This window comes from Homo sapiens, chromosome 11 (genome assembly GCF_000001405.40).
Source record: "Homo sapiens chromosome 11, GRCh38.p14 Primary Assembly".
NCBI lineage: Eukaryota > Metazoa > Chordata > Mammalia > Primates > Hominidae > Homo > Homo sapiens.
In genome coordinates, this window is record NC_000011.10 from 34,167,454 (window position 1) to 34,195,156 (window position 27,703).

Below are 27,703 nucleotides of genomic sequence, written 5' to 3' on the forward strand. Positions count from 1 at the left end.
TACATTCGATTGATAATGTTTGCCTGGAGCACAAAGTGGACAAGGCTCAAAAAGAGAGGATAGGTATTTAATTAGCAATGTCTGCCCTGGGCAAAAGAGGGCAGATGGGGAGTGCTTTATGCTTCAGAGGGAGGCAGAGCTAGAAGTATTTGGGGATGGAAGGAATGGCTGGAGATTAGGCTGGTAAAAGGAGGAAGATATCATGAAAACAGAATCACAGCCCATCTCTCCACTCACTCCCGCCTCAGTCCACTCCTTTTCAGACAGAAAGCCCAAATCTTGAGGAGACTTCCCTGGCTAACAGTGGCCTCTGTGCATCTTGTCTTTCCGGTCTTTTGACACACATCTACTCAGTTGCCCAAAACATCACGCCCAGCGTGTTTGTTGGAGCCCTCGGAGTGATCCCTGCTGGCCTAGGGCCTGGGTGCAGCTCTGTGGGGCTTCCTCACCTGGATGTCCAAGTTTGCCCCAGCATCAATCAACATCTGGACCATCGCTTCGTCCCCAGCAGCGCAGGCGTACATCAGTGGCGTCATACCCTGAGCAAATCAAATGCACGTGCTAAACTGTTTGCAAACAGAACACAACACCATGTGCCCACAGGCCTCTGCCCCAGAAACCACAGATCGGGCACCCCGCCACCCCAGCCGAGCATCCTGTGGTCCCCCAGGCTCTGTGCTTCCTGGGCTGCTGGGCACAGGGCATGGGGAAGGTGAGTGGGGGCACTGCCATGAGCACTGCAGGACACTGGAGCAGGGCCCAGCACAGGCCGTGCAGCCAGGCTCGGTGCCAAGGTCTCCTCTGCCATGGGGAGCTGTAAACTTTATACATGTCATTTGCCCTCTCTGTGCCTCAGTTTTTTCATCTGTAAATGGGGAACCACAGCAGTATCTTATCTCCCTCAAAGGGTTGTTGTAGAGTGTGGATTAATATGTATAAAGTGCTTAGTTCAGAATGAGCTTACCTTGATTAAGAGCTATGTAATTAAAATACCAACAACACTCTCATGGCTACTATGCCATACAGCCTCATAGCCGCCATCCCAGGCCCTGTGCATGGAAATCACCCTGCTAGTGATGAGCATGCAGCATCTCCCTCCATCATCGTAATATTCCCATCCTCCCCATTTTACAGCTGAGGAGCAGAGAAGGGGAACTGACTGCCCAAAGTCACACAACTAGCGAGAGGTTGAACTCGGGGCAGGAACCAGGCCTCCATAAGCTGTGAAGCCCAAGCTTTGCGCCGTCCCACGAGACGGTAGAGGAGGCATTTGACTTCAACATCTTCTGCTACTGAGCAGTTCAGAGCATTCCTGCAAGCTGAGTCCTGCTGTCTCCCTGGGTTAGGTGGGCAGTTGGCGGGGCCGCCTCCCTGGCTGGGAATCCTCCTCTGTGGCCGGCAACAGCAAAGGCAGTGCAAACTGTTTATTCCACGGCTGGATCCCAGCAAGTGTTTGCCTGGTGTCCCGTGATGTTATTTATTAGGATATTTGTGTGTAGACAAGATCTCCTTACCTCATAAATCCTTGCCTAGTGGCCAGAGATAAAGCAATGGCCTGAGATTAATCATGGGGTGAGAGAGCTGTTTACCCACAGATCATTCTATAAATACTAAGGTTTAGGGAACAAACAGGATTGAGCACTTAGACAAAGGCCAACACCACAGAATAAAAATTTGGCTTTGTTTCATCTCCCTGCGGACAGACTTGACTTACTTTTTTCTCCACACATCTGTATACAATTTGGAGTTTAAACCAAATGACGGGCCCGGTGAGGAGACACTGCTTTTTCCCTTGTCCCTGTCCCCACGCACTCCAGACATATAAAGAGGCCAAATAAAACCAGGCCGGCTCGCAGATATCAGGCATCATCATCATATCAACAGCAATACGACTACAATAATCATCATATTGGCAATAAAAACCGGAATGAACATTTAGTGAGTGCTGACTATGTGCTGGATGCAGACTTCCCCCAACCCTATGTGTCAGGTGCTACCATCCCCCATCTTAGAGGGGAGGAAACTGAAGTGCCTCAGGGAGGCAGAGTAACTTGTTCAAGATGCTACAGCTCTTACATGGCCACTAAATCCTAGGTCTATCTGAAGCTAAAGTCCACGGGCTTCCACACTGTGCTGTTCAAGAAGGAAGACTCCACTGGGACAAAAGCTCCCACAAAGCCCGGGAACCTGTGTGGACGGAGAGGCCCCCACGAGATCCCACAGCAGCCTGTCACCTGCCACTGCCCTCTGGAAGTCCAGTGCTGGGCCTGTGGTCCTTCCCCAACCCCTGGCCTGGGTCCACGCCCTGACTGCCCCACCCCACACTCCTTATGTCCCTTTCCCTGGAATCCCTTCCTGACTCCTCTCTGCTCCGTCCCCATCCTGCCCTCCCCCAGGCTCGGCTCAACCGCTTCCAGCAGGAAGCTTCCCCTTGCAGCCCATCCCATCTGTCAGGGTCCACCCTGGCCTCACGGTCTGCCTGGAGTTTCATCACAGGCTGCATTGTGCCGTCACCTCATCTGAGAACACTGCCTTAACTCGCCACTGTCATCTAACTCCCCATGCTCTGTGTGGCCTTCCAAACCCCACAGTGCCCTTCCGCACACTGTAAGTGCTCTCAGTACAGTGTCAAATAAACACACAGGATATTCCATAGTGGTTGAGAGGCTGGGTCCAGCTGCTCAGATTCTCCACCCAGCTCTGCTCCTTACTAGTGGTGTGACCTTAGGTAAAGCAACCTCTCTGTCCCTCAATTTCCTCATCTATACAATGGGGAAAATAATAGTGCTACATCACAGGGCTGCTGTCAAGAGGAAGTGAGTTAATCTATGTGAAGCACTTAGAACAATGCATCGAACATAGTAAATGCTATATAAATGGTAGCTGTTCACAGCAAAAGTAAAAAACAAAACAGATGCGAAACTCAAGTTAAAGCCTATCTAAAACTACATCACCTCCCACATTTCCTACCCATTTTCATGCTTCATTTTAGTCCTCAGCACTTTAACATCCTCTACATTTTACATGTCTGTGTTTCTTCTTATCTGTCTCCTGCACTAAAATGGTATCTCCATGAGGACAAGGGTTTCCATGCCCTGGCAAGTAGTTGGCACACAATAGGCTGTACTACAGGGTTAGCGATCGTGTCCCTAGCTGGAGATGAAGCTCACTCTCCCAGACTCGTTCCTAGCCTTGCACCACCTGAAACAGTGGCCAGCTGTCCAGCCAGGGAAGCGGAAGCCACATGACAAAGTTCTTCCAAGGGATACTAGAAGTCTCCAAGCTGACATTCCACATGACCAGGCAGGGCAGGATTCAGGGAGGTAGCCCGCCTTTTCGAAGTACAGAGCTGAGCAAATCTCAGGGTTAGGACAGAGGGCCGCCAATGCTGGGAGCTGAGAATTCCCAACTCTGGTCCTCGTGCCTGTCTTTGTGGAGCTCTCAGGACGTACCTGGTCATCCATGGTGTTAACCCCATCCGGACCCAAGGCCTCGATGGCTTGGTTGATGAGGTCCGTCCTCCCACAGTTGAGCATGCGGAAACCCAGGTCCTGGTTGAATTTTTCAGTAGCTGCTCGGGCATCCAGCCTCCGGAAGGAACTGAAACAGTGTTCGGGTCTGCCCAGAAGAGACCCAAAGGTGCGTGTGACTGTATGCAGACAGCAACTTTCAATGATGTGACACACATGTGTGAGCTTTACGTGTAGAGTGAGGATGAGGATGGGTGGGAAGCACCAGGGAGTTATGATCAGATCAGCAATTACTGTCCCCATCATGTTCTGTCATATGAAGAGCACACATTTCTGCTTTTCTATAAGTACATTAAAAAATTGCTTGGGAGGTAGGTTCAGTGGCTCACACCTGTAATCCCAGCACTTTGGGAGGACAAGGCAGGTGAATCACTTGAGGTCAGGAGTTCAAGACCAGCCTGGCCAACATGGTGAAACCCTGTCTCTACTCAAAATACAAAAATTAGCCAGGCGTGGTAGCATGTGCCTGTATCCCTACTAATCAGGAGTCTGAGGCAGGAGAATAAATTGAACCCTGGAGGCAGAGGTTGCAGTGAGCCGAGATTGTGCCACTGTACTCCAGCCTGGACAATAGAGCAAGACTCTGTCTCAATCAATCAATCAATAAGTAAGTAAGTAAGTAAGTGTTCTGAGCCCTTGTTGCTTCAACTGGCAGAAAACAAAGACTCATGTAAAACAATCTGTTATGGGTCTGCCCCAAGCAGGAAGCAGCTCCCACCCAGACTCATGCCTCAGCACTTGGCTGTATACTGTTTGTGTTGAGCAGGCTGCACTCAGCCTATAAACGGTCACCATGGCCAGGTTCTAGTATTTAGCTCTACATTCTCTCTCTTTAAGGCTTCCTGGTGAGGCTCAGAAGTACCAAAGAGATGGTAGAGAGTAGCATAGACTGCCATTTGCAATCAACGCAACCTACAAGGAAAGTCACAGATAATGCCTGTGTTATAGGGGGCGCATCACAGACGTCCAGTTGGCAGCTTTGGTCTGGAGCCTTGGTTGGGCCAAAGTGTAGAAAATTCATGTCCTAGAATGGGGTTTGGGCCTTCCGTATGAAGACAGAGGAGGCCATAACCTGGGTTTTGGCAGAGGGTTAAAAAAAAGATATAAGGCCAGGAGCAGTGGCTCACGCCTGTAATCCCAGCACTTTGGGAGGCCAAGGTGGGTGGATCACCTGGGGTCAGGAATTTGAGACCAGCCTGACCAACATGATGAAACCCAGTCTCTACTAAAAATACAAAACTACCCAGACGTGGTGGTGCGTGCCTGTAATTCCAGTTACTTGGGAGGCTGAGGCAGGAGAATCGCTTGAACCCAGGAGGCAGAGATTTCAGAGAGCCGAGATCACACCATTGCACTCCAGCCTGGGCAACAGAGTGAAACTCTGTCTCAAAAAAAAAAAAAAAAAAAAAAAAATATATATATATATATATATATATGTGTGTGTGTGTGTGTATATAGATAGATAGATAGATAGATAGATAGATAGATAGATAGATAGATAAAAGGCTCTCATGGGCCTAGGATGGCCAGGGACGCTTCTCTAGAAAAGCTCCTCAGCAAACAAGTCTACTGTGAGAGGCATTTAGGGAAGGAAATTAGGAGCACAGGCTTGGAGGCCGTATGGACCTGGGTTCAAATCTGGGCACGGTAAAGTGCTAGCTGAGTATCTGTGGGCAAGCTACTGTTCCCCTCTGACCCTCAGCTTCTTCATCTGTAAGATGGGCATGATTGCCTCTTCCCTGCACTTGTCATGAGGACTAAGATAATGCACATAAAGAGGAAGGGCTCACAGCACCTGCACCCAGGAAGGGCTCCATGTGGTGTCAATTACAGGAACAGAGGAAAGAACGGGCCCACTTCTGCCCCTCAGTCCCCAAGTATCCCAAAGAGTTAGATGTGTGGGCTCTCCTGCCCCAGTCCCAATGTGTGTCTCCTCTGTGTAGCAGACCAGCAGCTGCAGGAGACGTTTCCAGACAGCAGCCAAAGTCTACAATAGATCTGTTCCCATACTCAGGCTTGGCCTTTGCAGAGGACACCCTTAGAACAGCTCAAATGTGCTGCAGCCCCTGCTCTCTGACCCCCGCCCAGCCATCTGGGGAAGAAGCGAGCAGAGGGGAGCCGCTGGGGGCAGGTCATGGATGCCGGGGCCCTCCCTCCTCCCTGGTTCATACTTGAGCTGCCGAGGTTCACAGTCCAGACCAGGCAGCAGCAGCCGGGCTGCCTGCCGGATGTCGCCGCTGTCCACGGTGAGGCTGCGGCGGTGCTCTGCGTAGGTGATGGCCACGCGCATCCACTCCATGAGGGGCGGCAGCAGCATGAAGGGCCTGTGGGGCAGCAGAGAGAGGGTCAGGCCTGGGGTGGGGTCCCTGCAGGGCAGCAGAGAGAGGGTCAGGCCTGGGAGGGTGCTTCTTGTGGGGCAGCAGAGAGAGGGTCAGTCCTAGGGTGGGGGGCTCCCTGCTGGGCAGCAGAGGGTCAGGCCTAGAGAGAGTGCTCCCTGAAGGGCAGCAGGGGACCCCTTAAGCACACACATGCTCACAAGTGGCAACCAAGGCTGATCACCCCTTGCAAGGGACCTGCTCTTTCTGCTCACAGAGACCCCGACTACCTGCAATGCACAGAAGGAATTTCCATCATGGGCCATTAGCAGAACCTGAGGGCCCTCAGGTGGCCCAGGGAAGGAGCAGTTCCCCAGTGTGTGGAATTGGGGACCTTTCCCCCTCCAAAGAGTTCAGTCAGGGTCGCCAAGTGTTCTTCTATGCAGAGGGGAGAGGCTGCACAGCTAAGAGTCTCACAGACCCAGGTCCAAACCCAGGGCTGCCACCAGCAGGGTCAGGTCACCATCCCCTCCGACAAGCACACTCGAGTCTGGTTCTCCATCTGTAGCACACGTGTGATACCTCCTTATGGAGGCTGTCATGAGGCCAAATGGGATGATGCATATTAGGCTGTTGTACAACATTAATGACCACTCCTTCCTCATCTGGCACCTAGACTGAGGTGGGCTGACACCACTTCGTGTGCCAGGCCAGGTTGCCCCCAGTTTGGTGCTCAGAAAAGAGTAGTGGCCTCGGCCGGGCTCGGTGGCTCACGCCTGTAACCTCAGCACTTTGGGCGGCCAAGGTGGGTGGATCACGAGGTCAGGAGATCGAGATCATCCCGGCTAACACAGTCTCTGTTAAAAAATACAAAAAATAAGCCGGGCTTGGTGGCGGGCGCCTGTAGTCCCAGCTACTCTGGAGGCTGAGGCAGGAGAATGGCGTGAACCCGGGAGGCGGAGCTTGCAGTGAGCTGAGATCGCGCCACTGCCCTCCAGCCTGGGCGACAGGGCGAGACTCCGTCTCAAAAAAAAAAAAAAAAAAAAAAAAAAGAAAGAAAAAGAGTAGCGGCTTCAAGTCCCACAGGGAGGAATGGTCCTAGCGGGTCCGAGTATCACTAAGAGCCCACAAAAGCAGGGAAAGGCGGCGGCAGGCTTAGAGCTGCAAACTCCCGGGGCGCCGCTCATGAGGCCCGCTCTGTGCCACCAGGGGACGCCATGTGCACAGCCTGTGCTGGGCCCTGACTGCGGCTCAGGCCGCGCCCGCCCCTGCCCTCGGCGAGCGGCTCAGATTCAGCTGGGGGGCGGGGACGCGTTTCTGTCCTCTGCCAGCTCTGGCAAGGCTCCGTGTTGGAGCCCCCTCAGGAGACCACTTCGCCGTCCAACAGACCTCCCCGCCACCGAGGGGCCCGGATGGCAGCCTGTGGCTTCATGACTTCGTGGGACACCCACCTGCTCTGCCCAGAATGGACGGAGCTCTTTCCCTGCTCCATCACAGGAACAAGGCAGCCCTGGAGCCCTGTCCCTCACTCATGCTGTTCTCTCTGATGACAGCCCAAAAGTCAGCCTCCCGGCTCCTGCCTGTTCCCAGCCCTTCCCGATGCCACTCTTGTCCTTCCTTACAAATTAAGCCAGGGAGCGGGCAGGCAGCCAGGGGCAGGCGGCCAGGCCTCCAGCCACCCCAACTCCCTCGGGGCTCTTGGAGCGTCCCGCCTGTGCGGTCACTGTGGTCTCTCCCCTTGACATGCAGCTAAGTGCTCCCGCCAGGGAAAAGATGTCCATTCTCTCTCCTTGGCTAGGAAGTAAGCCACCTCCAGGGAGTCAGCCTGGGCTGCCCTCGGAACCCCTATCTCAGGTCTCCAAAAGCTCGGGTCATCTCCAGAGTTCTAAAAGTTTCTTCTCTCCTTGAGGGCAAAGAATGCTTTTATTTTAAAAAGTGGCAAACAAATATAAATGCTCCTTGACTTAGGATGGGGTTACATACCAATAAACCCATAGTAAGTTGAAAATATCCTAAGCGAAAACGCATTGAATACACCTCACCTACTGAATAGCCTACCTTAAACATGCTCAGAACACCTACATTAGCCTACAGTTAGGCAAGATTATATAAGCCAAAACCTGTTTTATAATAATGTTGAACATCAGTGTAACTTACTGAATACTGTATGAAAGTGAAACAGAATTGTTGTGTGGGTACTCGAAGTAGTTTCTACTAAATGCATATCGCTTTCACACCACTGTAAAGCTGAAAAATTGTAAGTTGCACCATCATAAGTTAGGGATTTTCTGTAATCAGAAGTGATCTTAAAGGTCTTTCCTTTGGGAAGGTATTCTGATGTTCTGGTTCTGTCATTTCCAATATTCCTGGGTTTGAACCACTTAACTGGTCCACTGAGCATACCAATCTGTATGAAGGGGAGGGCCACAGGCCAGTAAAGCCTCACTATCTCTGGCCCTCAAGGACTCCCAGAACCTCACCTCACCCTATCTCCTGCCGTGACTCACCCCTGTTACCAGGACACACCACCAGCACTCATGGACCTCAGGCCCACCCTGCCTGCTCCCATCTATGCATGAGAACGAACAGCTCTCACCCCTGCTTGTCTAGATCCTATTTATCCTTCAAGACTCCATTCCAATGCCACCTGCTTCAGAAGCCTTCCCAGATTCTCTCTCCCCACCCCCCCAAAAAAAAGGGGGGCTGGGTGCGGTGGCTCACGCCTGTAATCCCAGCACTTTGGTAGGCTGAGGCAGGTGGATCACAAGGTCAGGAGTTCGAGACCAGCCTGCCCAATATGGTGAAACCCCGTCTCTACTAAAAATACAAAAGTTAGCCGGGCGTGGTGGTACTCACCTGTAGTTCCGGCTACTCAGGAGGCTGAGGCATAAGTATCGCTTAAACCTGGGAGGCAGAGATCGCAATGAGCCGAGATCATGCCACTGCACTCCAGCCAGGGTGACAGAGTGAGACTCCGTCTCAAAAAAAAAAAAAAAAAAAAAAAGAGAAAGAAATATCTTCCTGCTCTGAGATCACTGAAAACTTTCCTTTACAGCAATAGCCATGAATGCATGTTGTCTTCCTAACCAGACTGTTCCTTCTAAGCACGGGAACAATGACTTCCTCATCTCTGTATTCTCTGAAATATGACCAGCCTGGGGCCTGACATGGCAGGTCCTCAATAAATGTTCACTGAAGCCAGGCCTGCTGGCACACGCCTGTAGTCCCAGCTACTTGGGAGGCTGAGGCAGGAAGACAGGTTGAGCCCAAGAGCTGGAGGCTACAGTAAGCTATGATCGCACCACTCCCCTGCAGCCTGGGAGACAAAGAGAGACCGTGTCTCAAGAAAACAAACAAACAAACAAAATTATTAGTAGAAAGTTTTGCTGAGTGACAAAAAGTATGGATGAACATCAGTAACTTACTATAGTGTACCCAGGTTTTCAGTTATGGACCAAGTCATGTTTCTGCCCAGAAAAGAATGGTGTATAATTTTCAAGAGCCTAGTGTTGACTCATTAGAGTAGGAAGCTGAGATTCTATGGGGGGATCTTGTGTAGTCTAGGAAGAAACAACAATCTATTCATGAATTATCCCTCTGTTTATAAGAGTTCCCTTAAACATAAATGCCCAATTCCCCCCAAATATTTTTAGATTTCACAATTCTTATATTACAGGGCTGGAAGGCAAGCTTACAGACATGCTTCTATATATCAGTCCTTCTGATTGCAGGAAAAGCCTTTATTTCAACCATCAGCATTGGAGACTGAAGTGTAAACAAAAAGATAATCCGTGGATTTGCCAGCCATTCTTCCCTATTGTGGCCAACAGCCAAGACAAAGCACCACGTGTGGCTACTAAAACTCTAAGAGGGCATCTCCTAGCTGCACTAGGGGAAATCCAAGAGGGAATTCGGGAAATCATGAAGTCTAATCAGGTGGCATCTTGGTTCATCCCCCTGCCTCATGCTCCTTAGAACTCAACACTTGAGAAAATGCAGTATTGATAGTCCTGGTGGGTATACACTGGACTCACTGGGTATACACTGGGCTCATTCAGCCCTCACTTTACCATCTTGGCTGGTGAGGTGGAAAATTGAAAACTGCATTTCCCAGTCTCCTTTGCAGCTGGGATTCTGGAAATTAGGTTTTATCATTAAGATATGCTGCATGAAATTTGGTAAGTGAATGGGAGGCAGAGGCCACCTTTGTGTTCCCTTTGTCTGTTTTTGCTAGCAAACCAGGTCATGAAAACTGAGGGTTTTTTTTTCCTACAGAACATTCCAGTCCAGTTTCCACCTATCTGAGGCTTCAGAGTAGTGGTAGTGATGGTGAAATGATAAAAGCAATAGCAAAGTCTTTTTTTCTTTTTTTTAACCTCCCACCTCAGCCTCCCAAATTGCTGGCACCACAGACATGCACCACCATGCCTGGCTAATTTTTTATATTTTTAGCAGAGATGGGGTTTCACCATGTTGCCCAGGCTGGTCTCGACTCCTAAGCTCAAGCGATCTGCCAACCTCGGCCCCCAAAATGCTGGGATTACAGGCATGAGGCACCGTGCCTGGCTGCAACGCCTTCTTGATTCCAGCTTTACTCCTGAACTGCAGCTCCAGAGGTGTTGTTCAAACTCACAGTTCCAGGCGCTGTCTCAGGGAGCAGCTCCCCTAATGGGCGAGTTCGTCATTCCTGGATGCTCAGCCTACACCCTGCTCCACGAGCTCCTCCAATGATTCTGTGAACCCCCAACTCCCTGCATTAAATCATCTCCTGCTTACAATACCCAGAATGCTGCTTCCTGAATGAAAACTGATTAATACTTTCAATATACAGAAATCTAGATTAGCCCTCTGCCTCTTTCAATATACAGAAATCTAGATTAGCCCTCTGCCTCTGGGGAGGGGCTGGTGCCCACATGTACAAACAAGGCCCCCAAACTGATCCCTTCAGGCCTTACTCCTTGGTCCACCCACCTCCCCAGCCTGGGATCTGTGGGAAGGTAAAAAGAGAAGTAATTCATGGACTTTCTCAGGAACATGCCTTCCATGGGCTGTGGGTTCCAGGCTACTGTTTCCTTCCTGATAATTCCATGGAGTCTGCTGGGCAGGCTGAGATGAGCTGGACCTGCATGTCTGGCCATTCTGGAAAACCCCTTTAAAAACTCCCATCTGCAACAGCGTGGCTGTGTGAGAACTCCAGGGTGAGAGGGCCTGAAGGAGCAAGGCTGAGAATGACTGATGTGTGCACCATCCTCAAGATCCCAAAGAAGTTCTCATTCCCCGCTTGTTGCGTTTCCCGTAGGCTGAGCTTGGTCGTTCCGTGCCCGAATGCAGATATCTGCAGGGCCAGAGCCAGGAGACCGGGTCGGGGCTGAAAAAGCTCCCTTTGTTCAGCCTTTCTGCCTGCTGAATTTTTCCTTAGCTGGATCTGATACCTCAGAATAGTGGTTCTCAATTTTTTCCCTGGTCTCAGGACTCTATATATACTCTTAAAAATTGGTCGGGCATGGCAGCTGACACTTGTAATCCCAGCACTTTGGAAGGCTGAGGTGGGCGGATTACTGGAAGTCAGGAGTTTGAGACCAGCCTGACCAACTTGGCAAAACCCCATCTCTACTAAAAATACAAAAATTAGCAGGGTGTGGTGGCACACACCTGTAGTCCAAGCTACTCAGGAGGCTGAGGCAGGAGAATTGCTTGAGCCCAGAAGGTGGAGGTTGCAGTGAGCCAAGATCACACCACATCACTGCACTCCAGCCTGGGTGACAGAGTGAAACTCCAACTCAAAAAAAAAAAAAAAAAAAATTAATGAGGACCTCAAAGAGCTTTTGTTTATGTGTGTTATTCTACGGATATTGGCTGTATCAGAAATTAAAACTGAGAAAATGTTAAACACATGAACGCACAAGCTCATGTCCCATTTGCCGTCAGAGTGATGACATCATGATATCACACAGCTTCTAGAAAAGTCTCCTGGATACTTGTGAGAGAACAAGAATGAAAAGGCAAATAACTTCTTGTTATGAAAATAGTTTTGGCCCTGTGGACTCCTGGCAAGAGTCCCTGGGACCTCAGGGGTCCCTGGACCACACTTTGAGGACTGTTGCTGTGGAAGACCACAGCTGATGGCTAGGACAAAGCTGGTAGGGGCTGGCAGGCGGCGCTGGCACAGAGCTGGCATTTCGCCCCTGGTGGCACACGGTCTGGTGAATCCTAGAGTGGTGTATGGCTTGCATGCATGCTCCTGGCAAAGGGATCCGAAGGTCCTAGACCCCTTCCCTGTGGCATCCTCACTGGGAGAAAGTTCTAGTTTCTTTTATACAACTGAACTTGCTCTATAACCTTGGGCAGATCGTCATCCTCTGTGGGCCATATTTTGTATTAAAGAAGAAATTGCCAAAGTTCGTGGTTTTTAACTCCTTTCATTGTGAGAGCCCTTTTGCTTTTATTTCACAGACTCCATACGATAGTAGCTGTACCTACTGCATGGTGACCAAGAGCACGGACTCCTGAGGGAGATGGCCTGGGTTGGAATCCAGTGTATTCCCAATGAGTTCAGCTATGTGGGTCTATGCAAGTTACTTCACCTCTCCCGGTCTCAGTTGTTCCATCAGCAAAATGGTTATAAATAATAGGACCACCTCACAAAACAGCTAGAAGCATGCATGTAAAATACTTACCATCATATTTGGAACATGGTAACTTCTCCATAAATGTTAACTATTATTACTAGTTTAGTGTCTGTTGACAGAGAAAATATATAATAGCAAAAAGGGCTATAGGAATCTGGTTCTATTAAATGCCTCAGCTCCAGCTTTCTGAAAGTCCAGCCAACTCTTTGCCTTCCCCCCACAGCAAGTATAAACATGTAAAGCCTGCAAAAGTCTGCCAGCAGGCTGCCCACCACCCACTCCATCCCAGCTCATAAAACAGAGAAAACAAATGCAACCACTATGTCGAGTGTGAGCTGGAAACTGTTTCTGGCAGTGCAGCCTCTTGGCCTTGGCAGTGAAAAAACTCACACAAGGGAAGGGGCAACAGCAAGGAACACAGACCCAGAGGCCTTGGGTCATGAACGTGTGTGGTGGCGAGGGTGGGTGAGCAGAGAATTACTTCAAGGGATCAGCAACCCCTGATCTGTCCTCAAATGCTGCAAACAGCCCAAAGGCCTAACCTAAATACCGTCATATGCATACATGCAGACAAATCCCAGAGATGGACAAAGCCACTTAAAAAGGTCAGTGGCTTTCTGGTAGCATTTGTCTTTGTGTACATAAAGGGCAGCACATGAAATAGACCAATGGAAATGGGTCTTTTTATATGAGAAGCATGGGAAATCCCTGACCACCTCCTCTCATTGCTAGAGGAGGAAAAGGAAACCCAGAGAGGCTAAGCGCCTTGCTCAAGGTTACACGGCCAATTCAGCTGCAATAGGGATGCTAGACCCAGGTGCCATAACAGTCTCTCTCATCTGCCTTTAAGTTAATCATACAGGTGAGCCTGATTGTTCAATCCAAGGGTCTCCTAAGGCCCCTCAATGGAACTAGGACTGAGAAAGCTATTATTCCCCCCTTTAAAAAATGAAAGAGTATAAGCTTCTTAAGGCCTTGGTTTGTTTTGTTTTGTTTTGAGACAGTCTTGCTCTGTCACCCAGGCCGGAGTGAGGTGGCACGATCTCAGCTCACTGCAACCTCCGCCTCCCTGGTGCAAGCGATTCTTCTGCCTCAGCCTCCTGAGTAGCTGGGACTATAGGCATGCACCACCATGACCAGCAAATTTTTGTATTTTTAGTAGAGACAGGGTTTCAACATGTTGGCCAGGATTGTCTCAATCTCTTGACCTCCTGATCTGCCTGCCTCGGCCTCCCAAAGTGCTGAGCTTATGGGCGTGAGCCACCATGCCCAGCCAAGGCCTTGGTTTTAAGAGGCCCCTGCAGCCTGGAAAACAAACAAACAAACAAACAAACAAAAAAAACAACCCTGTTGCACTCAGAAAGCATATGATTTATTGGGATTACAGTCCTATAAGTGGTGTCTTAACAACATGGAACAGGAAACCCCTCCAGTTTCCAGCTCAAAGCAGGCTCTGTTCTTCCCCGGGGTAGGCAGGGACCCCAGAGTGAGTCAGGTTGGCAGATGGGGCACAGGCCTGTAACCAGAGGCCACATGACCCGGGCCCCAAGCACAAGCCTCGGGTCTCTGTTCCCATCCTGGCAGGCCAAGCAAATGAGGCCAGCCGGTTTGTGCCCTTCTCCATCCACCCAGGAGGAGCTGAATACAAAGACTCAGGCAGACCCTGGACACACCCACAAGCTAAGAAGGGCCTCGAGACCAGGCCCAAGCTTAGCTCTGGGAAGACAGGGTGGGTGTGAGCATACAACGTTCTGGGGTGCAGGCCCGGCTCCCAGGGCTGGGAGGTACACTGTGCCACAGGCTTGCTTCCAAGAGAGCTCCCCATCACCCGCTAAGCTGTGGCCTGCCCCACCTGCAAGCACCCTGGGAGTCCAGGAAAGGACAGGCAAGAGATGACGATCAAGGGAGAGGATGGCCCCAGTGGTTCCTACCTTCAGCCCTAAATTCTTCCACTAACTTTGCCCCACCTTCAGTGGGAGTCAGAGCCAAGCACTGGGGTTGAATGGGGTCACATCCCCCTGGACTCACCCTTTCTCATGGATCATGCCGTGAAACACACTGCTCCCATGCTCCTCCCTGTCTTGTCTGGGCTGGGGGTGCCAAGTGGCACCGTCAGGAACTTGCAAAGATGCCAAGCTTTTCCTAAGCAAGTGACGGCTCCACGAACAGACTTCTTTGGGAAGGTCAGGGCTGGCTCTGCAGGGCCAGCAATGAGGCCCTCACCATAGCTTCCCTGAGATTTCCACACAGCCACCACGGCCTAATACCAAGCCAAAACATCCACGTAGGATAAAAAACCAACATTGTCCCGCTAAGTCAGATTTCACTCTGCACCAAAGAAACATTTCTAGTCCAGCTCACATCTTGTACTCATTATTTTTCTAGAACTGCTGGGTAAACCAGAATGGTTTGGCATGGCTTGGAGGCAGAGTTGGGCATGGTTCCCTCTTCGGACCCCCAGCCTCATCTCCTCCAGCAGCCAGGCTGCCTCTGAACCGCAGCTGAGCCCACAGCAGAATCTCCACTTGTGCCCAGGTGACTTCTGCTTGAGGTGGGGCATTGGGTTCTCTGGGGGGGGGGGGAAATTCACTTTTCCTATTAAAACTCATCTGGTACAGATTAGAGGCACTAGATGAAGCTTGCCCAGATACACATAGGGACAGAAATTTAGAGCCAACCAAGTCATGACTAGCTCTGGGTGATTTCCCTTGTGTCTCCCCAGGGGTCACCCTTCAGGTCCCCATAGGAGCCTGAGAGTTTCTGTTAGCAGTGAGATGGGAGGTCCACCGTGTGACAATCAGGGCCTTCAGGAGTAATAGAAAAATGCAAACAGCTAACATTTCTGGAGCGTTTACTAAGCAGCTGCCACAGTGCCCTGGACATCTAGTGGCTCATCTGCTTCTTAGAGCTGCCTGATGTAGCAGGTACTATTATTATTTCCGTTTTATACATGGGGAAACTGAGGGCCAGAGAGGTGAGGTCACTTGCCCTATGTCATGCACCTGCCAAGGAGCAGAGCTGGGATATGAACCTGGGCAGTGTCCCTGAGTCTAAGCTTCTGAAGATGACATTCCACAGCCACTCAGATTCTTCACCTGGTGCTGGCCCAACTCCTCCATCTTAGGGATGATGATATTAGGCACAGTAACCACAATTTGTCATGCAAACTGGATGACTTTTTTTTTCCTTTGAGTCAGGGTCTTGCTCTGTCGCCCAGGCTGGAGGTGTAGTGGCACAATCACATCTCACTGTAGCCTCAACCTCCTCTGCTCATGTGATTCTCCTGCCTCATCCTCCCAAGTAGCTGGGACTACAGGTGTGTGCCACCAGACTCGGCTAAGTTTTGTGTTCTTTGTAAGGCGAGGTTTCACCATGTTGCCCGGGCTGGTCTTGAACCCCTGGACTCAAGCCAACTGCCTACCTTGGCATCCCAAAGTGCTGGGATGGCAGGCGTGAGCCACCGTGCCCAGCTGGATGACTTTTGAAAGGGAAAAAGAGAGCTACCGCCAGCACTGGGACTACCGGGTGTAAACTAGAACTGGGCTGGGCACACCAGAACATATGGTCACCGTACTGCCCTCGGCTAGAGAGACTGCCCACGGTGGCCTGCTGCCGGGCTCATGCTGTCTGCAGGCAGGAGGAGGTCCTCCTGCTCACCCCCTCAGAAGCAGGCCTCCCTCTGCCCTCCAGCACTCAGCCCTACCTTAGTGCCTGCACAGCACTCGTCCAATTTGCAATGATTTGGTTGGTATGGTTTTGTACGGTCTCTCCTCTGGACTATATCTTCTCTGAAGGCAGAGGCATTTTTGCTCACTGACGTTTCCCCATCTCTCCGCACAGAAGCCGGTGTTAGAAACTTCATTTTTGAATTTATAAACACAAGGCATGTTTCTCACTCCTGGAGGCAAAGTCCTCCAGCTGCTACCATGGTTTCAGGGGCTGCTCTTACTCCAGGACTTTGTTTTTGTTTTAAAAACAAAAACAAAAACAAACAAAAAACAAAAAACGGGGAGTTTTCCTCTGTTGCCCAGGCTGGAGTGCAGTGGTGCAATCAAGGGTCACTGCAGCCTCAACCTGCTTGCTGGGCTTAAGCGATCCTCCCATCTCAGCCACCAGGCCTGGCTAATTTTTAAAAAGTGTTTTTTTTTTTTTGTAGAGACAGGTCTATGTTGCGCAGGCTTGAGCTGCTGCGTCCGGCCTCCAGGACTGTTCATTAAGGGCTCCAGAGCACTCTCACGAAAGGGGGAGCTGCTTCGTCTTTCATTCCTAGAAGCTTGAGTTGGCTTGGGTATTGGCAAAGAGTTCTTTTCAGAAAAAAAAGGAAATAATTCCCCAGTAAAAAGACAGCTATTGCACAGGAGAGTGTTCCAAATGCAACAACTTCCTAGGGGAAGCACGGCAGCCCGGGGCCAAGGTGGCTTCTGGGAAGGCAGCTTCTGGGAAGGCAGCTAGGATGTAGGGATGGAGCTGTCACCAGGAATAGGAAAAGGTGGCTGTGGTTCTGCAGATGTTACCGTGTCTGAGCCTCAGTGGAGGGTACACAGCCATCTGTCCTTAGGAATCAGGCCTGGTTCCAGGGCGGCATTTCGTGTGGGTGAGATGGTACAGATTCCAGTGGAGACTGCGCATGGGCCTCCACCCCTCCTCGCTTTCCCACACGGCAGGGAGAGCTCCTAGCCCTGCAAGGGCCAGGACATCTGCCTCATTTCTCAGGCCAGAACTCCCCAGCATGGCTGCCCCAGCACAAGGGCAGGCAGCTGGTCCAGCAGGCCTGGGCCTCAGTGCTTCCCACACCCTTGGGTGGCAGGTGTGAAAGCCGGCATCTCTCCACCTCATTGGGAAGCAGCTCCCAGGCCTACTGGCCACGCCCCACCCATGGGGCTCACTGCAGCCATGTGCCAGGGACTCGCTTTCTTCTCCCATGAGCGGTGTTTGTGGTGGCTCACCAGAGACCACGAGCTCTTTCACCACATGGAAACCAGACAGGCGGGGACCTCCAACCTGCTCAAACATACCTCCCTCCCGAGGGCACCTGCCACCACCCATTGGCCTCTGCCAAGAAGACAGACGTGGGAGGACCCCGAGGTTTATCCTATCTGCTGAGCTGTGGGCCAGGGTTGGGGGACTTTTGTTTAGGCTCTTGGGATAGGTAATCCTGTTTGGATTCAGCTAACTGTAATCACACAGCACTCACCTTCCCCAACTCTCATAGTATAAGGCAGAAAGATGACCCATTCAGATTGTCAGCTGAAGAGTTTCTAGAAACTTCTAGGAAGAAGCAGTGGCGTGAGGGCTCTTGAAGCCTGATATGAGAGTGAAATTCTTGACTGGCAAGCAGTGTTTTGACCTGAGCTGTTGATGGGATGGGGGTCATGGAGGGGTGGTACACTCCAGCCCAGACAGAGAGAGAGGAAGAGACAGTGCAAGCTCAGAGGACAGGGCCTGACCCTGCTTTGTGCATCCACATCACAAGGGCAGCTGCAGGGAAGACTGGCATTGGCTTCTGAGCAGCAAAGCCACCTTGCTGAGATGTGCTCAGGGCCTACTCTGTGCCAGGTGGGTGTGAGGTTGCATATGTTACCTCTGAAACAGTCACCCTGCGAGGGAGATATACTTATTAGTCTGCATTTTTACAAATGCAGAAACAGCCTTTGTAGAGGGTAGGTCACATGTCCAAGGTGACATAGCTAGACAAAGGTGATTAGTCTGGTTCTAAAAAACAACCATTCTGAATGGTCACTGGAGGCTGGAGTGGGGTTGGGGGGAGAGGTGGGTCAACAGGTACAAAGTTGTAGTTAGATTGGAAAAATAAGTCCTGGTATTCCCTTACACAGTATGATGACTATAGTTAATAACAATGTATTATATGTTTCAAGACAGCTAGAAAAGAGGATCTTGAAAGTTACCACCATAAAGCACTGATGAAGGTTTGAGGCAATGGACATGCTAAGGACCCTGATTTGATCATTATAGAATGTATACATGTATTTAACCATCACATTGTACCCCATAAACATATACAGTTATTATGTGTCAATTATAAACAACAACAAAACCCCCCAAACCACCCTGGGGGTCTTTCAGGATACCAAACTGCAGGCATGAAATGCTCTGAGCCCTGGTGGGTGGAAAGCTGGAAGGAGGCGTGATGGAGAAAGGTTTGCCTTGGGGCCCACGGCACCGCTCCGCCCAACCTCCAGCTTTTGCTCTCTCAGCCTCATCAGGCCCTGAACTCGGCCGGGAACAGAAGGCTGGGCTCCAGTGCCTCAGGGGGTGCACCCCAGGCACCTTAAGAGCCCTTTCCCCTCAAATCCACAAATATTAAAGCAGTCAAAGCGGGGAGGGGCAAGTCACAGACAGCTGTCAGGGCGGCTGGTCTTGCAAGAGGATAGAAATCCCAAGAGCTGCCTGGCAGGCAAGTGAGAGCACGCCAGGAACCAGCTCGGCTTGGCTCCAGATACCACCCAGCTCCTGTCCTCCCCCCATCCTGAGGGTCTGAATGCTCTCCAGCTTCGCCTCGGAAGCAGGCTTCTTTAAGAAAGCAAAATCAATTCCCTTTAGAGTTGGGAATTCCCTGCATTGAGAATCCTGGCAAGACTGCAGACAAAGGGGATTGTTGCTGCCCGTGTTACAAAAACACTCCAAATGAATGAAGCTCCTCGGGCCCGGCAGTTCCCAGTCTTCTTTTCTGCGAGGACCGGTGGGTCCAACAATGGGACAGGAAGTCCCATGCAACAGCCAGCCCTGGGGGGTGCTTGTCAGAGGCCGGGCCAGGATCCTGTCCTGTCTCTATCCCTGTTATGTGGCACTGACACTTCCTGCCCCGAATCCCTGGCTCGCTCCTTCTCGGATGCTGGGCAGACGCCCACCCCCAGGCTGGCCTCCCAGAGCCAGCCAATGCAAGCCTGCTGAGAAAGAGGCCCCAAGTAGCTGAGAGCAAGCTGCCCACACCGCTCTGGGAAAAGGAGGTGCTGACCGAGATCCCCGGCTCCGGGGTCTCACCCTCTCCCCTCCTGGGAGGGGAAGGGATTTACCACTCTGAGCAATGTGAATTCATTGCATTATTATTGATACAACCGACCTCCATTCCTGAGCTGAGATCTGTCTCTTACCAGCTGTGATGGTGGGCATGCCTCGGACCTCCTCAAGGCCTCAGTCTGCTCGCTATAAATGGGAATGTAATAGTTTCCTCCAAGAGCTACTGTAAGGACCTGTTAGAGAGCTGTGTACTAAACAAGCTCTGTAAACTGTAAAACTTTGTCTAGATGCTTCCAGCCCACGTAAAGATAGATCAGGTCTCTTCCAAGTTTAACCTTCAGCAGCCGCAGTCCATTGCACATAGGCACTATGGCTAAACCAGCAGGCGTGGGGCCAGGGACGTCACCAACTTTAAAGAGTGACTGATAGTTGGCTTCGTCTTTGATCCCATAGCTAAATGGAATCCAGTTTGTAGAGTTCTTTGAAATCCTTGGGTAGGGTGTGATAAGGCTAAATTTCGTAGATGTCCAAAATGGGCCTCGTTTAACAAGCCTTCTGTGATGTGGTCTTCTCGTCTACCTTATCTTCTTTGCCTTTTTTTTTTTTTGGTGAGATGGGGTGTTGCTCTGTTGCCCAGGCTGAGTGCAGTTGGTGAGATCATAGCTCACAGCAGTCTTGAACTCTTGGGCTCAAGAGATTCTCCCACTCAGCCTCCTGAGTAGCTAGGACTACAGGCATGCACCACCATGCCCAGCTAATTTTTATTTTTATAGAGATGGGGTCTCACTATTTTGCCCAGGCTTGTCTTGAACTCCTAAAGTGATCCTCCCACCTCAACCTCCCAAAGTGCTAGGATTACAGGTGTGAGCCTCTCATCTTTCTCACTCACCTGGCTCCCAGCTACTCTGAGGGCTGAGTTAAGATGGACTAAAGAGCAGGGACTGAGGGAAGGAGGGAGGGATGGATGAGAAGGAGAGAAGACATGCATGTTGAGAAGATATGATTTTTGCTGTTACAAATGTTTCTGGATTGCTTGTTCATTGAACACAACGTGGTCTTTTTGGCCTTCACGCAGGCTTATGGTAACAGTGATTATTCTGATAATAGCAGCTGCCATGCACAAACACCTTATTCTCTGCCACATCCTTAACATGTAGCTACCTTATTCGCCCCTCACAAAAAATTCTGGAAATATTTCAAGTCATTTTCTATTTCAAGCAAGGGAAACTGAGACTTGGCAAATCACGTAACTTGCCCAAAGTCACACAGCTAGGAAATGGCAGAGCCGGGACCCCATATCATGGCCTTTTTAACTCCAAAGAACCCAACCATTAGGTTCTACCACCTATTTCATTAACTTAGCAAAATATTTAACTGCCTACTACACATGCCTGGGACTGTGCTGAGGACACAGCAGGAACAGGGCAGACCGAGGGCACTTACATTCCAGAGGGGTGGGGAGGGAACAGACATGAGCAAGGTGACTTCAGATAGAGGAAGGTGCTCTGAAGGAAACAAAAAGAGCGTACAGTGAGGGAGGTTCCTGGCAGTGGAAAGGAAGCTCCCTGTGTGCACCGTAGACTGTGAACAAGTCCCTTCAGAGGCTAGTGGATGTGCCAGCCTGGGGAATACACGGAAACAAGTACTTAATTCACCCAATAGCTATTCTTATTTCATTTACTTCCATTTTGGGTAAACAGATGGAAATTTAATGCACAAAAAGGGGGAGAGGAAAGGAGAGAAAAGAGCTTAACATTGCAAATCTTCTTGAAATGGTATTTAAGGAACTCAGAAGTCAGTAGCATAAAGCCACCACTGCCATCATCTCTATTATTTGATAAGAAAACACTTTCGCAAGCTGAGCAAAAGATTAACGAGCCCACTTCTTCAGACTGAACACACAGCCTATCTGTGGGCATGTCCTCTTTATGTAAAGTGCTGTCTGAGGGAAACATTCTCCCTGCTGCATCTGGAATGGAACAAAGAGGTGCCTTGATGTGGTACCTCACTCGTATCAGGGCATTTCCCCACCTTAGGAAGCAGGCACAGTTCAGATCTCTACCTTATGCAGGAGGAAACGGAGACTCTGAGAGGTAAGATGATTTGCTTGGATCATAGAGCCAGAAGAAAAGAGCTGGGATTTGATCCTCATCCCACAGCGGCTCAGAGGATGCACTTCTTTTTCCACTGGGAAACCACTGACCTACAGCTTGACCTTGAAGTATTTGCCTAGATAAACAACAATCAGCGATGACTTAAAAAACCAACTGCTGGTCTGAGTGCAGTGGTTTCTACAATTAATCGATCACAACCAGTTACAGATTTCCTTGTTCCTTCGCCACTCCCACTGTTTCACTTGACTAGCCAAAAGAAAAGAAAAGAGAAAAGAAAAGAAATATATATATAATAAAAAATGCTGGGCACTGTGGCTCACGCCTGTAACACCAGCACTTTGGCAGGCTGACTGGGCAGATCCCTTGACTCCAGGAATTCAAGACCAGTCTGGGTGACACGGCGAAACCCCATTTCTACAAAAAATAAAAAAATTAGCCAGGCATGGCAGAGTGGGCCAACAGTCCCAGCTACTCAGGAGGTGGAGGTGGGAGGATTGCCTGAGCCCAGGAGGTCGACGTTGCAGTGAGCCGTGATCACGCCACTGCATCCCACCCTGGGTGACAGAGTGAGACCCTGTCTCAACAACAACAACCACTCAACTAATTTTTATGTTTTTAAAGTGTAGGTCCATTTCTGTTATAAAATTCATGCTCTGAAACAACAAAAGTCCTTCTATGACTCTTGCTGCCCATGCCATTCACCTCTCCCAATCTTCTGTGGCTGTCCTTTAAGGCCCAGTTAAAAATCCCAGGTCTGCTCCGACATGTCCCCCACCTACTCCAGCCTTCTCAGAATCCTCTTAAATGTGATGCTGCTGCTGCTGCTTCTTACTGTGTACCAGGCACTATGCTAAGTGCCTTATGTATATTAACTCACTTGATCCCCACAACACCCCTATGAAGTTGACACTATTAATCACCTATTAAGAAGAGACTGGGCTGGCCGCAAGTGGCTCATGCCTGTAATCTCAGCACTTTGGGAGGCCTAGGAAGGTGGATCACTTGAGGACAGGAGTTTGAGACCAGCCTGGCCAACATGGCAAAACCCTGTCTCTACTAAAAATACAAAAATTAGCCAGGCATGGTGGCATGTGCCTATAATCCCAGCTACTCGGGAGGCTGAGGCAGGAGAATCACTTGCATCTGGAAGGTGGAGGCTGCAGTGAGTCAAGATCGTGCCACTGCACTCCAGCCTGGGTAACAGAGTGTGACTCCATCCAGCCCCTGCCCCACCCCTGCCCCGCTGCCCCCCCAAAAAAAAAAAAAAAGAGACTGAGATGCAGAGGGTAAATGACATGCCTGAGGCCACCCAGCTCGTGAGTGGCAGGGCTGGGATTGGAATCCAGGCAGACTTCAGAGCCTGAGGGCTGACCTCATGCACCATCATGCACCTGAGCTTCCTCCTGCACTGTCTGGTGGGTTTTGCTCATTTGTTTACTTCCGTCTTGCTTTTGTCTCCCTCATTAGGCTGGAGACTCATAAGCCACTCTTTATCATTCTCCTAGAGCCCTTCTCCATGGATCCGCAGGAGTCCAGGGAGAAACAGGAGTAAGTCAAGCACTTAAGACAGTATCTGTCTGTGAATGTGTGCTCTATAACGCTCGCTATAACTAGCAGTAGTGGTAATGCTGGTAGTAGCAGTAATCTTAGTAATTGTATTATTATTAGTCATAGTGGTAGTGGTTAATTAGTAGTAATATCATCAGTAGTAGTATTAATAACTGTAGTAGTAGTAGTATTACTGACCCAGATATCACTTGAGAATCACATTTTAGGAAATGTCATGCTACCTCAATAAAGAGAGCCTGCTCTGAGTGTCAAACATGCCATCTAAATGTTGTTTATGGCCATTATAATGAGGAGGAGACACCATTTAATGAGCACTTTTTATGTGCCTAGCATTTAGCTAAGTGCTTTACTGTATTATCTCATTTAACCGTAGAAGCCATACTACTATCTTCACCATTTTACTGATGAGGAAACTGAGGCCCAGGAAGATGAGTTGACATGGTCATACTCCTAGAAGGTAGATGAGATAACACCTCTGGGATGACCCAAGAGGCTTATGGCACCCTCCTCCCCTTGGTCACCATCAGAAGCCCCAGGTGAAATGGTGGCATGCACCTATAGTCCCAGCTACTTGGGAGGCTGAGGTGGGAGGATCACTTGCACCCAGGAGTTCAAGGCTGCAGTGAACCATGATTGCACCACTGCATTCCAGCCTGGGTGACAGAGTGAGCCAGTCTCTTAAAGAGAAAAAAAGCCCCAGGTGTGCGTTTCCAACAAAGTGGCTGGAACCCAGAGCACTGACACGTTCGCTGGCTCCAGCTCTTTGAAATTCTGTCTAGCCTGATACGGAACAGGGAAGCCAAGAGCTGGGCCAGACACACATTTATCGTCTACCAGGATCTCACCTGGACAAGAGCTTCAACCTCTGAGCAGGTCCTGCTAGCCCTAGCAAAAAGAGCTCTATGTGAGTTGGAGAACAAGATTAGTATAACATCAGCACCCTGGTCTCGTCTCTCCTGAACCTGTCTGGGGGTGCAGAACTACATATCAGACTTCTCCAGGGCAGACCTTTATAGGAGCATCAAGACAAGCAGCATGGGAGGGGCTTCCTGGACCCTCTGCTGCCCTTATTCTTAGAAGGGTTCAGGCCCCAAGAAGGGAAGTGTGGGAAGAAGGACAAATAAAACCCAGCCAATCACAAATAGCTGCACCAATGGGGGCAGGACCTTCTCAGCCACAAGCTCAGCCCTGTGTGTCTTGGCCAACAAGGTCCGCCCACTTCTGTGCTCCATCCTGCACAACAGTGCCCGTGTTCCCTTGCTCTGCTCCTCCCCATCGCCGGTCTCTCTGGGGTGCCTTGCTGCCTCTAGCCACTTGGACTCTGTATATGCTGCTCCCCTGCCTGATACAAACCATCGTGCTGATAATCATAAGAACAGATACTCAGTGTGTCCTAGGCCCTGTTCTAAAAGTATGTAGTGAGCAGGTGCAGTGGCTCATGGCTATAATCCCAGCACTTTGGGAGGCCAAGGCAGGAGGGTCCCTTGAGCCCAGGATTTTGAGACCAACCTGGGCAACATGGTGGGACCCCATTTCTACAAAAATTTTTTAAAAGTTAGCCAGGTGTGGTGGGGCACATCTGTGGTCCCAGCTACTGGGGGGGCTGAGGTGGGAGGATTGCATGAGCCCAGGATGTCAAAGAGGCAGTGAGCTGAGATTGTGCCACTGCACTCCAGCCTGGGAGACAGAGCAAGACCCTGTTTCCAAGAAAACCCCCCAAATATGTTAACTCATTGGGTCCGCATACCTTACAGATGATTAAGAGCCTTGAAGAGGTTAAATGACTGGTTGAAGGTTATAAAAAGTGGCAAGGTAGATCTCAAATGCACGCCTTTGAATAGCAGGGCCCTCCTCAGATGGGGCTATTCTGGCTGGCTACGAAGTCATGACACCAGAGGTTTCTAGGCCCGACCCCCAATCAGAACTCTGGGAAGGGTTCCACACTCCTCCTGTTTTCATGTCCTGGATACCAGCAGGCTCCAAGCCTTCTGAGTGTGCCACCCTCCACAGAGGCGGAGACGTGCTGTGCAGGGCTGGGGAGAACGAGGCAAGAGGCCAGGATCTGAGGCTTAGCAAGCGGACCGCTCTGTGGACCAGTGGCCCTCTGCCATTCCCACTCTCTCTGCCTGGCCACTCCTCAAGGGTCTGGCTTCTTTGCTGCTGCTCACAGTAGATGCAGTCTGGAAGGGTGCCTGGGGGACCCCAAACCCTCCAGCAGCCCAGGTTCTGATGTGGAGAAATGGTCACCTCCTGTCGACCTCAGGCCCTCTGCACCTCTGACTGCATGTCTCCCTCTGTCTCCTCTACTTGATGACGCTGCCTTCCAGCAATTTGCTGGCAAGCGGGCGGCCCTCTTGCCTTCCTACGTGTCTGCGTAGTCTTTATCCTTACTGCCCCAGACCTCTCATTCCCCAGAAGGGTGATGGCTGAGGAGGTATATCCTCTGCCAAAGATTCTGTTCCAGCTAGCCCATCCCTCTGCCCCCAGGCACAACCAGCAAGGGCCACATCTAACCAGATGGTTGTCCTTTCTCCTCCAGACCTCAGAGGAAGGAGGCTCCCGATCTCCCTGGGCAACCTGGATCCCTGACAAGAGGCTCTTTCACTTTCTAAGCTTGATCTCCGGTGATGACACACCCTGCAGGGCAGCAGCTGTGACTAATTCTGTGTTTTAGACTCTGCCTTGTGCCTGGCTGGTGCCTGGGATGCAAAGCTGCCAGTGAGAAAGGCACCCTGGAAGGGTGCAGGGAGGCTCCAGCTGCAGAGCTTTCCCAGGATAGTGAGGGGGTGGGGCTGGAATGGCCCCAGAGAAGGTGGCCCCAAAGGCCAGGGCCCACCCAGCATGCCTCAGTGCTGTAGGATCAGGTCTCAGCAGCCAGCTGGGAAAGCCACAGCCTGGCACAGGGAAAGGCAAAGGCCTTGAGGTGAGAGAGACCTCAGGTTTGAATCCTGGCCTCGCCACTTATCAGCCAGGTACCCCGCGGCCTCCTGTACTCACTTGTGAAACGGAGGTAATGATAGCACCAAACTTGCTGAAGTTCTTTGGGCCTAGAAGTAGGTAGAAATGGGCTTTAAAAGAAGGGCGTATGTTATCTGACTTTGTCCTACCGGATAGAATTACTTAGCCCCATTTTACAGGTGAGGAGCCTAAGGCATGGAAGGGCCCTCTGAGCCCAGGCCTCTGCCCCAAAGCCTGTACTGTTTCTTGATGCACCAGGCTCACTGCAGGAGTAGATGAAAGGAGGTTAGAGGCTTCTCATTCCCTGCAAGGCTGCCCGCTCACCACTCTGAGTTCCTGCTGCTTCTGCCCCTCCCTCCTCCCACTGTCTCTTCTCCCAAACCAGAGCAGAGAGCTCTGGGGAGAAGGCCCCTTACGGAAAGATGTGAAGTCCCCACCAAACACTGCAGAAGCAGCAGGTGGCTTAGCAGGGAATGCCACAGTGAGCTCCACACAAAAGAGATGAACACACGTCCCTTCCCTTTGTCGCCATGGATGTGGTCACACATAGCCCCTAATTGAAGGAATCAGGGTACCTTTCTTTAAAGCAGAAATATGAGGACAGACTTGAGTGGTTCCATCAATGATGTCATGCTGCCAAACCCATATCACCAAACTGAGCTCCCTCTCCCATGTGTGCAAGGCAGTAGAGGAGGTCACTTAATCCCAAACAAACCCAGAGAGCCACCAATCCCCAAACAGACAGTCTCTACAGCCAGACAACCACGGTCACATTGAAATCAGGGGCTCCGTCCAATTCTGGCTGGGTGAACTCAGTCCGCCATGCTTCCAGGTGGGACAGAGGACGGGGCTTCAGGAGGATGAAGTGGAGCAAGAGACAGACGTCGCACATCCCCAAACTCACAAAAGCAAAGCTCTGCCACTCTGGAACCCTAGCAAACTCCAGCTACTATTTGCATCAGGAGAGGTTTTCCCCAGAGCTCTGGTGAGGGTATCAGGGTGCTGGGGCCTTGATGGGACATTGGCCCAGCCCAGCCTGCAGTAATGCTGTAAGCTCAGCGCTCCCAGGAAGGATCCCCACAGCCTCCAGGGCCTTCCCTGTCAGTGAGCCAGAGGGCAGCAGATCTGCTCAGCGACAGGAGCCAGGCCACCAGGGCGCCGTCGGGCTGTTGGCTCCCTCAGGTATTTTTAGGGTTGTCCTCCTTTCTGTGTCATAACTTAAAAATTTGGTTTTTTTTTTTTTTTCCTAATGGGGGTTCCAATTCCCCATGTGTCTGATATTCATTTGAAATGATTCATGGAAAAATATCTTTGCTACCAAATTATTTGTGCTACAGATAGTGCGGTTTTTAAATAAATGGCTACGTAAACACATGCACGTGTGTCTACTACCATGCAAGCTCAGCTATTATAACCACATAGGGCTGTGCAACTCAGATCATGAAGAAACCCTGATGCTGTGTATTAGAGTACAGGGGGCTGGGAACCCTCCTGGGGGAAAGCCACAGGACATGACAAAGATGCCCGGCGGGGGGGGGGAGTGGGGGCGGGAGAAAGTGCCAGCAGAGGAATGACTGCCCCTGGGCCTATAGCCATGACAGCCTGAGGGC

The 27,703-nt window shown here is 50.7% G+C and overlaps 1 protein-coding gene across 1 annotated transcript in view, besides 9 other annotated features; it reads right to left on the reverse strand.

The window, feature by feature from the left end:
- The window catches only part of ABTB2 (ankyrin repeat and BTB domain containing 2), a 207,024-nt gene that overhangs the window by 16,467 nt on the left and 162,854 nt on the right, over positions 1-27,703 (reverse strand). Inside the window, exons 4-6 of the mRNA NM_145804.3 lie at positions 5,702-5,854; positions 3,453-3,618; positions 450-539 (exon numbers count right to left, since the gene is read on the reverse strand). Coding sequence (NP_665803.2) covers positions 450-539; positions 3,453-3,618; positions 5,702-5,854 — 409 coding nt within the window. The remainder of the gene's footprint in view (positions 1-449; positions 540-3,452; positions 3,619-5,701; positions 5,855-27,703) is intronic.
- Positions 6,130-7,052: an enhancer, noted in NCBI's record as "H3K4me1 hESC enhancer chr11:34195130-34196052 (GRCh37/hg19 assembly coordinates)". NCBI's record gives its function as "activates a minimal SCP1, AML or CMV promoter by ChIP-STARR-seq in naive and primed H9 embryonic stem cells {active_cell/tissue: H9 hESC(naive and primed)}" and the evidence as "EXISTENCE:reporter gene assay evidence [ECO:0000049][PMID:30033119]".
- Positions 7,053-7,973: an enhancer, noted in NCBI's record as "H3K4me1 hESC enhancer chr11:34196053-34196973 (GRCh37/hg19 assembly coordinates)". NCBI's record gives its function as "activates a minimal SCP1, AML or CMV promoter by ChIP-STARR-seq in primed H9 embryonic stem cells {active_cell/tissue: H9 hESC(primed)}" and the evidence as "EXISTENCE:reporter gene assay evidence [ECO:0000049][PMID:30033119]".
- Positions 13,259-13,458: an enhancer, noted in NCBI's record as "active region_4597". NCBI's record gives its function as "activates an Ori minimal core promoter by ATAC-STARR-seq in GM12878 lymphoblastoid cells {active_cell/tissue: GM12878}" and the evidence as "EXISTENCE:reporter gene assay evidence [ECO:0000049][PMID:35858748]".
- Positions 15,513-16,014: an enhancer, noted in NCBI's record as "H3K4me1 hESC enhancer chr11:34204513-34205014 (GRCh37/hg19 assembly coordinates)". NCBI's record gives its function as "activates a minimal SCP1, AML or CMV promoter by ChIP-STARR-seq in naive H9 embryonic stem cells {active_cell/tissue: H9 hESC(naive)}" and the evidence as "EXISTENCE:reporter gene assay evidence [ECO:0000049][PMID:30033119]".
- Positions 16,015-16,514: an enhancer, noted in NCBI's record as "H3K4me1 hESC enhancer chr11:34205015-34205514 (GRCh37/hg19 assembly coordinates)". NCBI's record gives its function as "activates a minimal SCP1, AML or CMV promoter by ChIP-STARR-seq in naive H9 embryonic stem cells {active_cell/tissue: H9 hESC(naive)}" and the evidence as "EXISTENCE:reporter gene assay evidence [ECO:0000049][PMID:30033119]".
- Positions 19,067-19,830: an enhancer, noted in NCBI's record as "H3K27ac-H3K4me1 hESC enhancer chr11:34208067-34208830 (GRCh37/hg19 assembly coordinates)". NCBI's record gives its function as "activates a minimal SCP1, AML or CMV promoter by ChIP-STARR-seq in naive H9 embryonic stem cells {active_cell/tissue: H9 hESC(naive)}" and the evidence as "EXISTENCE:reporter gene assay evidence [ECO:0000049][PMID:30033119]".
- Positions 24,997-25,182: a silencer, noted in NCBI's record as "fragment chr11:34213997-34214182 (GRCh37/hg19 assembly coordinates)". NCBI's record gives its function as "represses an EF-1alpha promoter that drives an FKBP-Casp9 reporter gene in an ReSE screen in both phorbol 12-myristate 13-acetate-treated (for megakaryocytic differentiation) and untreated K562 erythroleukemia cells {active_cell/tissue: K562 | K562(+PMA)}" and the evidence as "EXISTENCE:reporter gene assay evidence [ECO:0000049][PMID:32094911]".
- Positions 25,651-26,536: an enhancer, noted in NCBI's record as "H3K27ac-H3K4me1 hESC enhancer chr11:34214651-34215536 (GRCh37/hg19 assembly coordinates)". NCBI's record gives its function as "activates a minimal SCP1, AML or CMV promoter by ChIP-STARR-seq in naive and primed H9 embryonic stem cells {active_cell/tissue: H9 hESC(naive and primed)}" and the evidence as "EXISTENCE:reporter gene assay evidence [ECO:0000049][PMID:30033119]".
- Positions 26,704-27,532: an enhancer, noted in NCBI's record as "H3K4me1 hESC enhancer chr11:34215704-34216532 (GRCh37/hg19 assembly coordinates)". NCBI's record gives its function as "activates a minimal SCP1, AML or CMV promoter by ChIP-STARR-seq in primed H9 embryonic stem cells {active_cell/tissue: H9 hESC(primed)}" and the evidence as "EXISTENCE:reporter gene assay evidence [ECO:0000049][PMID:30033119]".